We start from the raw sequence: 17,189 nt of genomic DNA on the forward strand, positions 1-17,189 counted from the left end.
AGTAAGTTATGTGACTAATAAATGTCACTTGTGCATATTTTAAAATTAAGACAATGTAGTTTTGGAAAGTAATTATATGAGAAAACCTTAGCTCAAGAAATAAGTCAAAACTAATGTTCAATATTTTTGGAATATGAATTTCCTGCAGTAGTCTCCAGTTAACCCTTTAACAACATGGTGGGTTTTTTCTTTTGAGCTTTCATTTGCTTAGTATTTATTTATTTATTTTTAGATTTTGAATACAATTTGTTGTTTTCGTTTTTAATTTTTATGGGTACATAGTAAATATATATATTTATGGGGTACATGAGATGTTTTGGTACACAATGGGAAATAAGCACATCAGCCAGAAAAAAAGGAGCATGGGGTGTCCATCCCCTCAAGCATTTATCTTTTGAGTTACAAACAATCCAATTATACTCTTTAAGTTAATGGAAAACAATTTTGACAAATGAATTTTTAAAAACTTATCCTATTAGTTTAGGGTGTGTGTGTGTGTGTGTGTGTGTGTGTGTGTGTGTGTGTGTGTGTGTTTAGAGACAGAGTCTTGCTATGTTGCCCGGACGCAAACTCCTGGGCTCAAGCAATCTTCCCAAGTAGCTGAGAATACAGGCATGCACCACCATGCCTGGCTTTACTGATTTGGGTGTTTTTTTTTTTTTTCAGTAGGTTTTGGGGAACAGGTGGTGTTTGTTTATGTGAATAAGTTCTTAAGCGGTGATTTCTGAGATTTTAGTGCACCCATCACCCAAGCAGTGTACACTGTAATGTGTAGTCTTTTATCCCTCACCCCCTCCCACCCTTTCCCCCAAGTCCCCAAAGTCCATTGTATCATTTTATGCCTTTGAGTCCTCATAGCTTAGATCCCACTAATAAGTGAAAATTACAATATTTGGTTTTCCATTCCCCAGTTACTTCACTTAGAATAATGGGCTCCAATTCCATCCAGGTTGCTGCAAATGCCATTATTTCATTCCTTTTTATGGCTGAGTAGTATTCCATGGTGTGTGTATATACACACTTGCATTAAATGACTTCTTTTCTGCTGGGTAGATGCCCAGGGGTGGGATTCCTGGATCAAATGGTAGATCTATTTTTAGTTCCTTAAGGACTCTCCACACTGTTTTCCATAGTGGTTGTACTAGTTTACATTCCCACCAAGAGTGTAAAAGTGTTTCCATTTCACCACATCCATGCCAACACCTATTATTTTTTGATTTTTTGATTATGGACATTCTTGCAGGAGTAAGGGGGTATCACCTTGTGGTTTTGATTTGCATTTCCCTGATCATTAGAGATGTTGAGCTTTTTTTCACTTTTATTGGCCATTTGTCTATCTTCTTTTGAGAATTGTCTATTCATGTCCTTAGCCCATTTTTTGATGGAATTGTTTTTTTCCTGCTGATTTGTTTGAGTTCCTGGTAGATTCTGGATATTAGTCATTTGTCAGATGTATAGATTGTGAAGATTTTCCCACACTCTGTGGGTTGTCTGTTTACTCTGCTGATTATTTCTTTTGCTGTGCCAATGCTCTTTAGTTTAATCTAGTCCCATCTATTTATCTTTTTGTTGCATTTGCTTTGGGGTTCTTGGTCATGAAGTCTTTGCCTAAGCCAATTTCTAGAAGGGTTTTTCCAATATTACCTTCTAGAATTTTTATGGTTTCAGGTCTTAGATTTAAGTCTTTGATTCATCTTCAGTTGATTTTTGTATAAAGTGAAAGATGAGGATCCAGTTTCACTCTTCTACATGTGGCTTGCCAATTATACCAGCACCATTTTTTGAATAGGGTGTCCTTTCCTCACTTCCTGTTTTTGTTTGCTTTGTCAAACATCAGTTGACTATAAGTATTCAGGTTTATTTCTGGGTTCTCCATTCTGTTCCATTGGTCTATATACCTGTTTTTATACCAGTAGCATCCTATTTTGGTGACTATGGCCTTATAGTATAGTTTGAAGTTGGGTAATGTAATGCCTCCAGATTTGTTATTTTTGCTTAGTCTTGCTTTGGCTCTTTTTTGATTCCATATGAATTTTAGTGTTTTTTTTCCTAGTTCTGTGAAGAATGATGGTGGTATTTTAATAGAAATTGCACTGAATTTGTAGATCGCTTTTGGCAGTATGGTCATTTTCACAATAATAATTCTACCTATCCATGAGCATAGGATGTATTTCCATTTGCTTGTATCATCTATGATTTCTTTTAGCAGTGTTTTGTGGTTTTCTTTGTAGAGGTCTTTCACCTCCTTGGTTAAGTATATTCCTGAGTATTTTATTTTATTTTATTTTATTTTTTATTTTATTTTATTTTATTTTATTTTTGAAGCTATTGTAAAAGGGGTTAAGTTCTTGATTTGATTCTCAGCTTGGTTGCTGTTGGTATATAGCAGAGCTACTGATTTGTGTACATTAATTTTGTATCCTGAAACTTTGCTGAATTATTTACCAGTTCTAGGAACTTTTTTGATGAGTCTTTTGGGCTTTCTAAATATACAATCATGTCATCAGCAAACAGCGACAGTTTGACTTCCTCTTTACCAATTTGTATGCCCTTTATTTCCTTCTCTTGTCTGATTGCTCTGGCTAGGACTTCCAGTACTACGTTGAATAAAAGTGGTGAAAGTGGGCATTCTTGTCATGTTCCAGTTCTCAGGGGGAATGTGTTCAACTTTTCAGTATAATGTTGGCTGTGGGTTTCTCATAGATGCTTTTTATTACCTTAAGCCATGTCCCTTCTATGCCAATTTTGCTAAAGGTTTTAATCATGAAGTGATGCTGGATTTTGTCAAATGCTTTTACTGCATCTATTGAGATAACTATGTGATTTTTTTTTAATTCTGTTTATGTGGTGTATCACATTTATTGATTTGTGTATGTTAAGCCATCCCAGCATCCCTAGTATGAAACCCACTTAATCATGGTAGATTATCCTTTTGATATGCTGTTGGATTTCGTTAGCTAGTATTTTGTAGAGGATTTTTGCATCCTATGTTCATCAGGGATATTGGTCTTTACTTTCCTTTTTTTATTATATCTTTTACTGGTTTTGGTATTTGTATGATACTGGCTTCATAGAATGATTTAGGGAGGATTCTCTCTTTCTCTATCTTGTGGAATAGTGTCAATAGGATTGGTACCAATTCTTCTTTGAATGTCTGATATAATTCATCTGTGAATCTATCTGGTTCTGGACTTTTTTGTGTTGGTAACTTTTTAATTGCCATTTCAATCTCACTGCTTGTATTGGGTCTGTTCAGAGTTTCTATTTCTTCCTGGTTTAATCTAGGAGGGTTGTATATTTCCATAAATTTAGTTTATGCATGTAAAAGTATTCATAGTAGCCTTGAATGATCTTTTATATTTCTGTGGTATCGGTTGTAATATCTCCCATTTCATTTCTAATTGAGTTTATTTGGATCTTCTTGCTTCTTGGTTTATCTTGCTAATGGTCTATCAATTGTATTTATCTTTTCAAGAAACCCGCTTTTTGTTTCATTTATTTTTGGTATTTTTTGTTTGTTTCAATTTCATTTGGTTCTCCTCTGATCTTGGTTATTTCTTTTCTTCTGCTGAGTTTGGGTTTGTTCTTTTTTCTCTAGTCTTTAGATTGTCTGTTTGTGCTCTTTCAGATTTTTTGATGTACGCATTTAATGCTATGACCTTTTCTCTTAACACCACCTTTGCTGTATACCAGAGGTTTTGATATGTTGTGTCACTATCATTCAGTTCAAATACTTTTCTAATTTTCCTCTTGGTTTCATTGTTGAGCCAATGATCATTCAGGAGGAGGTCATTTAATTTCCATGTATTTGCATAGCTTTGAGGGTTCCTTTTGGAGTTGATTTCTCATTTTATTCCACTGTGATCTGAGAAAGTACTTGCTATAATTTCAATTTTCTTAAATTTGTTGAGACTTGTTTTGTGGCCTATCATATGGTCTATCTCGGAGAATGTTCCATGTGCTGATTAATATAATTTTTATTCTGCGGTTGTCAGGTAGAATGTTCTGTAAGTATCTGTTAAGTACATTTGTTCTAGGGTACAGTTTATGTCCATTGTTTCTTTGTTGACCTTCTCTTGATGACTTGTCTAGTGCTGTCAGTGGAGTACTGAAGTCCCCCACTATTACTGTGTTGCTGTCTATGTCATTCCTTAGGTCTAGTAGTGATTGTTTTATAAATTTGGGAGCTCCAGTGTTAGGTGTATATATATTTAGGATTGTGACATTTTTCTGATGGACAAGTCCTTTCTTTTTTTTTTTTTTTTTTTTTTTTTGAGACAGAGTCTTGCTCTGTCGCCCAGGCTGGAGTGTAGTCGCACGATCTCGGCTCACTGCAAGCTCCGCCTCCCGGGTTCACACCATTCTCCTGCCTCAGCGTCCCGAGTAGCTGGGACTACAGGCACCTGCCACCATGCCCAGCTAATTTTTTGTATTTTTAGTGAGATGGGGTTTCACCATGTTAGCCAGGATGGTCTCGATCTCCTGACCTCGTGATCCTCCCGCCTCGGCTTCCCAAAGTGCTGGGATTACAGGCATGAGCCACCGTGCCTGGCCGACAAGTCCTTTCATCATTATATAATGTTCCTCTGTCTTTTTTAACTGCTGTTGCTTTAAAGTTTGTTTTGTCTGATATAAGAATAGCTACCCCTGCTTGCTTTTGATGTCCATTACATGGAATATCTTTTTTCACCCCTTTAAGTTTATGTGAGTCCTTATGTGTCAGGTGAGTCTCTTGAAGACAGCCAATACTTGGTTGGTGAATTCTTATTCATTCTGCCATTCTGTATCACTTAAGTGGAGCATTTAGGCCATTTACATTCAACATCAGTATTGGGATGTGAAGTACCATTCTACATATAGTGCTATTTGTTGCCTTAATACCTTGGGTTTTTTTCATTGTGTTGTTGTTTTTCAGGTCCTGTGAGATTTATGCTTTAAGGAGATTCTATTTTGGTGTATTTCAAGGGTTTGTTTCAAGATTTAGAGCTCCTTTTAGCAGTTCTTGTAGTTCTGGCTTGGTAGTGGTGAATTCTCTCAGCATTTGTTTATCTAAAAAGACTATATCCTACCTTCATTTATGAGGCTTAGTTTTGCTGGATACAAAGTTCTTGGCTGATAATTATTTTGTTTAAGGAGGCTAAAGCTAGGACCATCAACCCTTCTAGGTTGTCCTAGTTGTAGAGTTTCTGCTGAGAAACTGCTGTTAATCTGACAGGTTTTCCTTTATAGGTTACCTGATGCATTTGCCTCACAACTCTTAAGATTCTTTCCTTCATCTTGACTTTAGATAACCTGATGACTACATGCCTAGGCAATGATGTTTTTGTGATGAATTTCCCAGTTGTTCTTTGAGCTGCTAGATCTCTATCAAGACTTGGGGAGTTTTCCTTGATTATTCCCTCAAATATATTTTCCAAACTTTTAGATTTCTCTTCCTCCTCAGGAACACCAATTATTCTTAGGTTTGGTCATTTAACATAATCCCAAACTTCTTGGAGGCTTTGTTCATTTTTTTTTTTTTTAATTCTTTTTTCTTTGTGTTTGTTGGATTGGATTAATCTGAAAGCCTGAAGTTCTTTCTTTTACTTGTTTTATTCTATTCCTGACACCTTCCAGTGCATTTTGCAATTCTCTAGGTGTGTCCTTCATTTCCAGAAGTTTTGATTGTTTTTTATTTATGCTATCTATATGGAGATTTTTCCATTTATATCCTATATCATTTTTTTTTATTTCTATTAAGTTGGACTTCACCTTTCTCTGGAGCCTCCTTGATTGGCTTAATAGTTGACCTTCTGAATTCTTTTTCTGGCAATTCAAAAATTTTTATCTGTGGTTTGGATATATTGCTGGTGGGCTGGTGTGATCTTTTGGGGGTGTTAAAGAACCTTGTTTTGTCATATTATCCAAGTTGTTTTTCTGGTTCCTTCTCATTTGGGTAGACTACGTCAGAAGGAAGATCTGAGGTTCAAGGGCTGCTGTTCAGATTCTTTTGTCCCATAGGGTACTCCCTTGATGTAGTGCTCCCCCTTTCCCCTAAGGATGGGGCTTCCTGACAGCTGAACATCGTTAGTTCTCTTCTGGATCTAGCTATCCAGTGGAATTACCAGGCTCTGGGCAGGTACTGGGGAGTGTCAGCAAAGAGTCCTGTGATGTGAACCATCTTCAGGTCTCTCAGCCATGGATACCAGCACCTGCTCCAGTGGAGGCAGCAAGGGAGTGAAGTGGACTCTGTGAGGGTCCTTTGTTGTATTTTTAGGTGCGCTGGTTTTGTGTTGGTTGGCCTCCAGCCTGGAGGTGACACTTTCAAGAGCACATCAGTTGTGGTAGTATAGGGAGGATCCGGCAGTGGGCGAGCCATAGAACTCCCAAGAGATTCTGTCCTTTGTCTTCAGCTACTAGGGCAGATAGAGAAAGACTATCAGGTTGGGGCAGGGTTAAGCATGTCTGAGCTCAGGCTCTCTTTGAGCAGGGCTTGCTGCGGCTGCTGCAGGGGATGGTGGGGTGGTTCCCAGGCCAATGGAGTTATGTTCCTAGGGGGATTATGGTTGTCTCTGCTGTATCACAGGTCATCAGGGAAGTGGGGGAAAGCCAGCAGCCACAGGCCTCACCCAGCTCCCATGGAGCCCACAGCTGGAAAGACTGGTCTCACACCCACCATGCTCCCCCAACAGCACTGAGTTTATTTCCAGGCAGCTGGTGAGCAGGGCTTAGAACTTGCACCAGGCTACAAGCCTCCCAGCTGAGAAAGCAATTAGACTCACAGTTCCTTGGCTGTCCCACCGAGTCTGCAGCAGCCATCCACCTCCCTCAAAGGGACTGTGAATTCTCTCTGCTTTCCTGGTATGTTCCTGTGGTAGTTCTTGGAGCAACAATTCGAAACGTGGGTCTCCATTCACTGCTCTGTCTGTCCGAGTAGGAGCTGCAAGTTAGTCCTGCCTGCTATCTGCCATTTTCCCAGCACTCTCCCAGCATGGGTTTTAACTGCACAGGTTTATCATATACTTGGATTTTCTTCCACCTCTGCCACTCCTGAGACAGCAAAACCAACCCCTCCTCCTCATCCTCCTTCTCAGCCTACTCAATGTGAAGGTGACAAAGATGAAGACCTTATGATAATCACTTCTACTTAGTGAATAACAAATATGTTTTCTCTTCCTTATGATTTTCTTAATATTTTCTTTTCTCTGGCTTACTTTATTATAAGAATACAGTATATAATACCTATACAAAATATGTGTTAATCATTTATATTATTAATAAGGCTTCCAGTCAACAGTAGGCTATTAGTAGTTAAGTTTTAGGGGAGTCAAAAGTTACACATGGATTTTTGACTGTGGAGGTTATGAAGCAGTGAAGAGTGTGGAACATGGGCCCAGACTATGCAGCTGAATTCCAGTTCTGTTGCTTGCTGGCTAAGTGGCTATAGGTATATTCCTTATCTATAAAATTAAAATAATAACAGTAATTACTACATAGGGTTTTGTGAGGATTAAATGAGATTTTACATACAAGCAATGCTTCATGAATATATCATTCAATACATATACATATATTCCCTCGATCCATGAAAGGCCTTAAACTCTGTGGAAGACAAATGAACACAACATGGTCTCTAATTATGAAGACTTCACCAGTTAATAGGAATGCCAAAACATGAGCAGAGACAACAATCATTCATTTCAATAAATATGTATCACCTTTGTTATATACACAAGCTGTTGTCCCAGGTGCTGAGGGAAAGCACTGTATATCATCTTAATTTATAACTCCTCACCTTATTGCATATATGATAATAAGACACGTTCAATATAAAGTGCGTTTGAAACACAGAGTTAGAAGTTATTGCCAGTAGGTGAAGGGAGATCGTAACTAGATACAAGATAATCCAGATGCCAAAGATTGGCAGGATTTTAGCATGTTAAATACAATGCATGTGCAGTAATGGGTTAACTCAACAGGCCTGGGTTATTCAAACCCTACACATTACAAAGAAAAGGCTGACCCTTGGCTAGTTCCTTGGAGAAAAGCTCTAAGCCATTGGAATGTCCCACTTGATCAGATTGTCTTGGTATGTCTGGGGCCTTGGGCCATGGGCCATGCCATGGAGTTTATGCTAGCAATGTGATTTACAGTGGGGGTCTGGGCCATGCTGTATCAGACTTTCCTCTGAATGACCTGAAGACTAAATAACCAAGGTTGGCCACATGGGTGCCCCACACCTACGTAACAGACCTACAATCAAAACTCTGTAAACCTAGGCTAAGGTGAACTTTCCTGGTTGACAATACTCCATCACATTGTCACATATCAATGCTGGGAAAAATAAGCACTGTCCATACAACTCCACTGCAAGAAGACAACTGGAAGCTTGTGCCTGGTTTCTCCTGAACTCTGCCCTATGCACTGTTTTTCTTTTTTTATTCCAATTTGTATCATTTGACTGTAATAAACTGCAACCATGACTATAACAGCTTCTCTGAGTTCTGTGAGTACTTCTGGTGAATTATGGAACTCGAGTGGGGTCTTGAGGACCCCTGACACAGGGTGTCCAATAACCAGCACCATAAAAGATGGGTAGGATGTCAGCATCTCAAATATGGGGCAAAAAGCAATTTTGGAGACATGAGAGTTGCACCACAAAAAAAGCTTTAAATATTTCTATGTCAATGCAGTCTCAAGACTGGAAATGATTTTTAAGCATCTGAGACATATAGACATATAGATCTATAAGTAGTATTACCAATCAGCAATCAACAAATCAATTTCTACCAGGAACAGATATATTCCACAATTTTTTATTTATTTAAGAATCATTCTATAATATTTTCATTCAGCTTCTTAGATCTCAGACCTTCTTTTTACTATTAAATACAAATCATAAAGTATTTTTCTATAATTCTCATTTTAAAGCTAGTGATTTCTTCTGTTACATGTAGGGTTAAATCCTTTTGCTAAATCACCAGAATAATTATTTTCAAACATTGATAGATGTTTATTCACTAAATTCAAAAAAACTGATTTGCAACAAAATTTTTTTTTTTTTTGAGACAGAGTCTCGTTCTGTCACACCCCGTCTCTACTAAAAAAATACAAAAAAATTAGCCGGGCGTGGTGGCGGGTGCCTGTAGTCCCAGCTACTTAGGAGGCCAAGTCAGGAGAATGGAGTGAACCTGGGAGGTGGAGCTAGCAGTGAGCCCAGATCACAACAAAGATTTTTATAACATGTATTAAAATACTTTTTCCCCAAATTAGATCTATATTGCAACTCAATATGAATAAGTTCAGCAATAAGTTAACTCAATATGAATAAGTTATATTCGAGGGCACTAACGTATGCCCTCGAATATAACATTTATGATCCTTGCTTTTTGATACTATCCTAGTATTTATGATACTAGTGCCTTGCTAACAGAAATTTGATCAGGTATGGTGAAAGAAAATTTTAGCACGGTGTTTTGCTTTCAGTGAACTCGTCAAATGTTTACTGAATGAATGAGTATATATATAAAATGGAGGAAAAGAAGGAAATGATTAGAAATATACTTTGGAAAGAAAGAATGTCAGCTGGGCGCAGTGGTTCACGCCTGTAATCCCAGCACTTTGGGAGGCTGAGGCAGGCGGATCACCTGAGGTCAGGAGTTTGAGACCAGGATGGCCAACATGGTGAAACCCCGTCTCTACTAAAAATACAAAAATTAGCTGGACGTGGTGGCGGGCACCTGTAATACCAGCTACTTGGGAGGCTGAGGCAGGAGAATCGCTTGAACCTGGGAGGCAGAGGTTTCAGTGAGCCGAGACCGCGCCATTGCACTCCAGCCTGGGCAACAAGAGCAAAGCTCTATCTCAAAAAAAAAAAAGAAAGAAAGAAAGAATGTGAAATTTAATGTAGGGACTCAAAATGGGATGATTGTCAGCAAAAATAATAAAATATGTAATGGAAAATAATTAGTCTAAAGGTTATATGACAACTAAATAAAACAAATATTTGGAGTCTAAGTTTTCTTAATTATTGTGCTTCATAATAATATTAAAATAATTCACATATATCCTAGTTATAGAAAAAATATATTTACATCCTAAAATTCATATGGAATCTCAAGAGATCACAAATAGCTTCACTGGACCCGATGGCTTCATTGGTGAATTCTACAAAACTGAAATAATGAATGCATACAATAAAACATAGATGGTTATTTGTAATCTTGAATTTGAAAAAACTTTCTGAGCCTGAAAACAAAAACAGTTCATTAAGGAACTAGTTGGTATATCTGGCTACAAAAAAATTACAAATGTCTGTATTTTGGAACACTATTTAAAATGTTTTCATTTACAAGCTAAATATTGTGTGCAAATATATAATAGACCAGTGATTCATATCTCTAATATATGTAAAATGTTCTTACAAATCAGTAGAAAGGTATGAACACTTATTAATGAGAAGGATAATCAACATGATCAATTCACAACAGAAGTTTTTTTATCTAATAAATATGAAAAAATTCAACTGTACTAGTTATTAACTAAATTCAAATTATCAATATTTCCACCTGGTTTAATTCATCATATTGGCAAAGATATCTTTAGTTTATAAAAACCCATGTTTTTTCAGAATGTAGAAATGGTCCTCACCATATTTCTGGTGATATCTACCCTGGGTAATAATTTTCCAATACATCAAAATCATTTTTGTCAGCTTGTATATCCAGTTGCAAGGATTATTATTAAAGTTTGGAGCATATCCCACATATCTCATCAACTATTTGGACCTTCTTTAGATAAACAATGGCATTCCCTTTGAGTATGAGTTGTTCAATTTTATAGTATTTGAAAAATTAGTCACATGTGATAGTTGGCAAGGATAAGGAGTTTGGGAGTATTGTGACTAAAGAACAGGGTTGCCTCCTAATATCCTTTTTCATAAAGGGAAGACAGCAACAAAGAGTATAACAAACAAAATTATGCAAAGAAGCTCATGGTAATCAGTGGCTCTTAGAATCAGGGAATCTTGTGCCAATGATCTTGCCTACTTCATATTGTTTTTGCTTCTGAAGCCAACTGTTACAAATTCTGACTCAGTCACCTGGCAGTAGTGATGATGTCAGTGATACCTGTAAGTGTATTTTCTATATTATCTGTTTCACTTGCTGTGTTCCAGAACTAAAATCAATTTTGGCTACTATCACGGCATAACCAATTTTTCCAAAATTTAGTGGCTTAAAACAACATTTAATTTGCTCATAGAGTTGCAACCCAAGCAGGAATTGTCAAGCCAGCTTATCTCTGCTTTACTAGGTATCGACTGGGACAGCCTGAAGGATGGGGTTTGCAATCATCTGAAAGTTTGCTCATTCACGTGTCTGATGGTTAATGCTGGCCTTAGGTGGAGACCTTAGCTGGAGATGCAGGTCAGAACACCTTGTACACGACCCAGCTTCCTCACAGCATAGTAAGAGAGAGATACTATTACAGTTCCTTACTTAGATTCTTTTAATATTCCTTCCAGAACACACATTCCAGAGCTTAATCTTAAATCACAGGCCATTAGGTGAATGTAAATGTTGTCTATACTTGTATATTTCAAAATAGCTAAAAGAAAGGATTTTAAATGTTTTCATCACAAAGAAATAAATACTTGAGGTGATACGTATATTAATTAGCCTGATTTTATCATTCCACAATGTATACAGGTATTGAAACATCACATTGTACCCCGTAAATATATACAATTATAATTTGTCACATAAAAATAAAACAAAGTAAAAAAGAAGCAAAAATCCCTGTGGATAATAAAACTAAAGGCTCTGGTTAATTTATTATAACAATAACAACAGCAGAATGAAAGAGAACAAAACCCTCTACTGAGCTGTAACATATAATCAATTTTATAAAGATTTAGTCACTGATTATGCTGGCAGAAAGATTATCTTATGAAAAGTAACAAAATTGACAAACCTCTAGGCCCTTAATTTATTTCATAAATTGTATTGTGATTGTTTCTGATTGACAAGAGCATTTAAACCTAGAACTAAACCTTTCTGAAGATATTATGATAGTTTATTTTAATATGAAGGATACACAGTCATTGAAATATATTCATACTAACATTTTATTTATACATAAATACCCTAGGAAGGCTGAAATTCTCTTTTGATGTATTGATATGCTGTATTGTTTCCTTATTCTAAGTTTGGTAAACAAAAGTACTCTCACTATAGCTTTGAATTAACTAAAATGTAGAGAATGCCAAGCAAGCATAATTATTCCTATAGTCTTTCTCTTACAAGGATAAAGAAGAAAATCTCTGTGTTTCATGGTGGCCTTTCCAGGAAGCTCAAAGAAATTTTAAACATAAACGTCATCCCAACAGTTTTATTATTATAAATTTTGGACCTGATTTGGGAAATCAAAAAGACTTGGCAGAGAAGACAAGAACATAAGTCACAAGTATCCAAAGAAAAGAAATAGTTACATGCAATAATTTTAAATAAGTAACCATGACTATTAATATTTTTAGCCTTAAAAAGTAAGTAATCCTTTTCCAAAGTAATTTAAAAGTATTCAAAAAGAACAGAGTTAACAGAACAATTTATTAATAAAAGAAATATCTGTTGTCTAGACACAATAACTTTGCTACATAAATGAAAGCAAAACAAAAACCCCAAATTCTAGTGTTAGTTTTTGTTTATGCAGTCCATATAGCAACTTGCAATAAAGTATTTGTAACCTTTTCTTTCTTTATATAGAAATGAACACAAATTTCTCAAAAATTTCAACATATTTCCTCATAGCTTTTCAACTCATTAGTTGCAAACATTATAATCCTATACTATGTATGGCCTCAAATTTTTCTTTTATAGCTTTATCAAGACACATATCTCTCACGAACATAGTTGCAAAACTCCTCAAAAAATACTAGCAAATAAAATCTAGGCAAACATAAAAAGAAAAATATTGCACAACCAAGTGAAATTTACCCTAGAAATACAAGTTTGATTTAACATGCAAAAATCAATTGATGCAATTCATCATGCCAAAAGAATGAAGGAGAAAAATCACAATCATTTAACAGATGCAGAAAAAGCATTTAACAAAGTTCAACAGCCATGTATAATAACTCTCTGCAAATTAGAAACAGAAGGGACTTTTTTTAACCTAATAAATTACATCTAAGCAAGACCTACAGTTAACATCATGCATAATTGTGAAATAGTGAATGCTTTCTTTCTAAGATCAAGGACAAAACAAGCATGTCCACTCTCACCATTTCTATTCAACCAGTGCAATTGGCATAAATAGTAAATATAAAAGATAAAGATTAAGAAGAAAGAAGTAAAACAGTTTCTCTTCACAGATTACATGACAGTTTTGGTAGAAAATCCTAATGATTCTAAATGAATTTAGCAAGGTCTGGGGATAGAAACTCAATATACAAAAATAAAGTGAATATACTGTAGTAAACCATTGGAAAATGATTTTTGATGTCATTTACAATAACATCAAAAATAGTAAATAATTAGGAATGTACTGAATTAACAAAGACATATGAGATATAAACAACGAAAACTAGGCTGGGCGCGGTGGCTCACGCCTGTAATCCCAGCACTTTGGGAGGCTGAGGTGGACAGATCATGAGGTCAGGAGATCGAGACCATCCTGGCTAACACGGTGAAACCCCGTCTCTACTAAAAAAAAATACAAAAAAATTAGCCGGGCGTAGTGGCGGGCGCCTGTAGTCCCAGCTACTCAGGAGGCTGAGGCAGGAGAATGGCGTGAACCCGGGAGGCGGAGCTTGCAGTGAGCCGAGATCACGGCACTGCTCTCCAGCCTGGGTGACAGAGTGAGACTCCGTCTCAAAAAAAAGAAAACTATTAAGTACTGCTGTTATTAAAGAAGACCTAAATAAATGGACCAATATACCATGTTCATATTTTAGAAATAATATTGTTAAGGTGTCAGTTATTTCCAAACCAATCTAGCAATTCAACACAAATTCAATTATATTCTCAGCTGGCATTTTGTAAAAACTGGTGAGCTCTCTCTAAAATCTACATGAAAAAGCAAAGATCCTAGAATACCTAAATTGTTTTGGAAATGAAGAAAAGTTGAAGGACTCAAACTACCTGAAATTAAGATCTATGCTATGGTTTGGCTGTGTCCCCACCCAAATCTCATCTTGAATTGTACTCCCATAATTCCCCCATGTTGTGCAAGGGACCCAGTGGGAGATAATTGAATCATGGGGGCAGTTCCCCCCATACTGTTCTCATGGTAATGAATACGTCTCATGAGATCTGATGATTGTATAAGGGGTTTCCCCTTTAGCTTGGCTTTCATTCTCTCGTCTGCCACTATGTAACACATGCCTTTCACCTTCTGTCATAACTGTGAGGCCTTCCCAGCCATGTGGAACTGTGAGTCCATTAAATTTCTTTTTCCTTATAAATCACCAAGTCTCGAGTATACCTTTATGTATAACACACACATATATACACACACACACCACACACATATTTCTTTATAAAAATATTAAGCCTCAAAATTAATTTGAGATGGATTGTAGACTTAAAGGTAAAAGCTAAAAAACTTCACTTAAAAAGATTTAGCTACAAAGCTGCTAAAAGAAAAAAAATGGGAGAATATCTTTGAGATATGAAGATAGGCAAAAGTTTCTTAGGATATAGAAAGCCAAATCATGAAATAAAAATAATGTTAAATTAGACTTTATCAAAATTAAAACTTCTTCTCATCAAATGACACTATCAAGAAAATAAATAGGGGCCGGGTACAATCCCAGTGCTTTGGGTGGTCAAGGTAGGAGGATTGCTTGAGGCCAGAAGTTTGAGACCAGTCTGGGCAACATAATGAGACCCTATCTCTAAATTTTTTTTTTTTAATTAGCCGAGCATGGTGGTAGATGCTTGCAGTCCCAGCTATTTGGGAGGCTGAGGCAGGAGGATCACTTGAGCTCAGGAGTTCAAAGCTGCAGTGAGCTATTATCATGCCACTACACTCCAGCCTGGGCAAGAGTGAGATCTTGTCTCTTAAAAAAAAATGGAGAAAGGGGAGAAGAAAAAAAGAAAGAAAAAAATGAATAGGCATAGTACAAACCAGAAAAATATATTTACAATACATATTTCTGACAAAGAATTTGTATCCAGAATGTATAATAAGCTTCTAAATTCATTATCTTTATATGTATATATTAAGTTACAACATACATAAATGTGTATACATATATAGGATGTTACCTAATGATAAGCAGGCCGGCCACTTCTCCAAGAAATCATAGCAACCTTAAATGTATAAATACACTGCATGATGATGATTCTGGACTGGATGCTAGAATGAAGGGATGAAGGGAAGATAGCTATAAGACTAATATCAGTCAACTGAAATTGTAATACAAACTGTGGATAAGAATCCTATTTTATCAATATTAAGTTTCTGATTTTGATATCTGTACTGGGATTTTGTAAGAGAATGTTCTTTTTCTTAGGAAATACATTCCAAAATATTTGGGTGAGGGCAGGTTGTCCCCAGTTTACTTTCAAGTGATTCAGAAAAAAACTAATATACATAGACACACATACACAAACACACACACACACACACACACACACACACATCTATATATATACATAGAGAGAGAGCCTGATAACGCAAATGGATGAAATCTAAATATAAAAAGCTGTCAAATCTGAATAAAGTATATATGGGAGTTCCTTATACTATTGCAACTTTATTGTAAGCTTGTATATCAAATTAAAATGTCATAAACATTAATGGTCCAGAGGACTCTGGGGAGATGGCAGAGTAGGAAGCACCAGATATCTCTCTACCAATCTAGACACCAATTACATTGGCAGACTCTGTCTAATGTAACTATTTTGGAACTCAGGAGTCTATTGAAGACTTGAAATTCCCACTTCCAGGTTTGGATGATAAATTATGGTTAATTTCGGTCCATTTCAGCTCTTAGTACAGTAGCAGCTACTCATCCTCCACCCATAGCTCCATGTCAAGAAGCTGTATTTGTGTTCCTGAAGCAACCTTCACACAGTATTCAGGATCAAACGAGTGGGGGAAGAGGGAAGCAAACACCGGGGAAGGGAAAGAATCTGATTTCCACAATTACCACATTATTAGATTCAAAGGTCCAGTTTTCAACAAAATACCACAAATCATACCAAAAAAACAAGAACGTATAATCCACTTAAAGGAAAAAAATAAGTCAACAGAAACTATTCTTGAAAAAGACCTGTGGCAGATATACTAGACAAAGACTTTAAAACAACTATCTTAAAGACAATGAAAGAACTGAAAGGAGATGTCGAAAGAATCAAGAAAATAATATGTGACTTAAAATGGTAATATCAGTAAAAAGATAGAAAATCTTGTAAAAGACCAAAAAGAAATTCTGGAGCTGAAAAGTCAATAACTTAAATGAAAAATTTACTAGAGGGATTCAAATCCAGATTAGAGAAAACAGAAGAAAAAATCAGTTAACTTGAAGAGAGGACAATGGAAATTATCAAGTTTAACAATTAATAGAATGAAGAGACAATCTGTAGAATGGGAGGACATATTAGCAAACTATTCATCCACCAAAGGACTAATATCCAGAATATACAAGGAACTCAAACATCTTAACAGCAAAAACATAAATAATCCCATTAAGAGAGGGCCAAGGATCTGAATAGACATTTCTTAAAAGACATACAAATGGCTAGGAGTTATATGACAAGAAATTCTCAAAATCACTAATCATCAGGGAAATGCAAATCAAAATGACAATGGGATATCACCTCAACCTAGTTAGAATGGTTATTACCAGAAAGACAAAAAATAAGAAATGTCGGTGAGGATATGGAGAAAACAGAACCTTTATACACTGTTGGTGGGAACATAAATTAGTATAGCCATTATGAACAATAGTATGGAGGTTTCTAAAAAAAAAAAACTGACAGTAGAACTACCATACAATCCAACAATCTCATTACTGAGTAGTTATCCAAAGGAAAAAAAAAGTCAATATATCAAAGTGATACCTGCAACCCCATGTTTATTGCAGCACTTTTCACAATAGCCAATATATGGACTCAATTTAAGTCTCCATCAATGGATGAATAGATAAAGAAAATTTGGTATATATGCATAATAGAATACTGTTCAACTATAAAAAAGAATGA

The sequence above is a fragment of the Homo sapiens genome, chromosome 14 (genome assembly GCF_000001405.40).
Source record: "Homo sapiens chromosome 14, GRCh38.p14 Primary Assembly".
NCBI classification, from domain to species: Eukaryota; Metazoa; Chordata; class Mammalia; order Primates; family Hominidae; genus Homo; species Homo sapiens.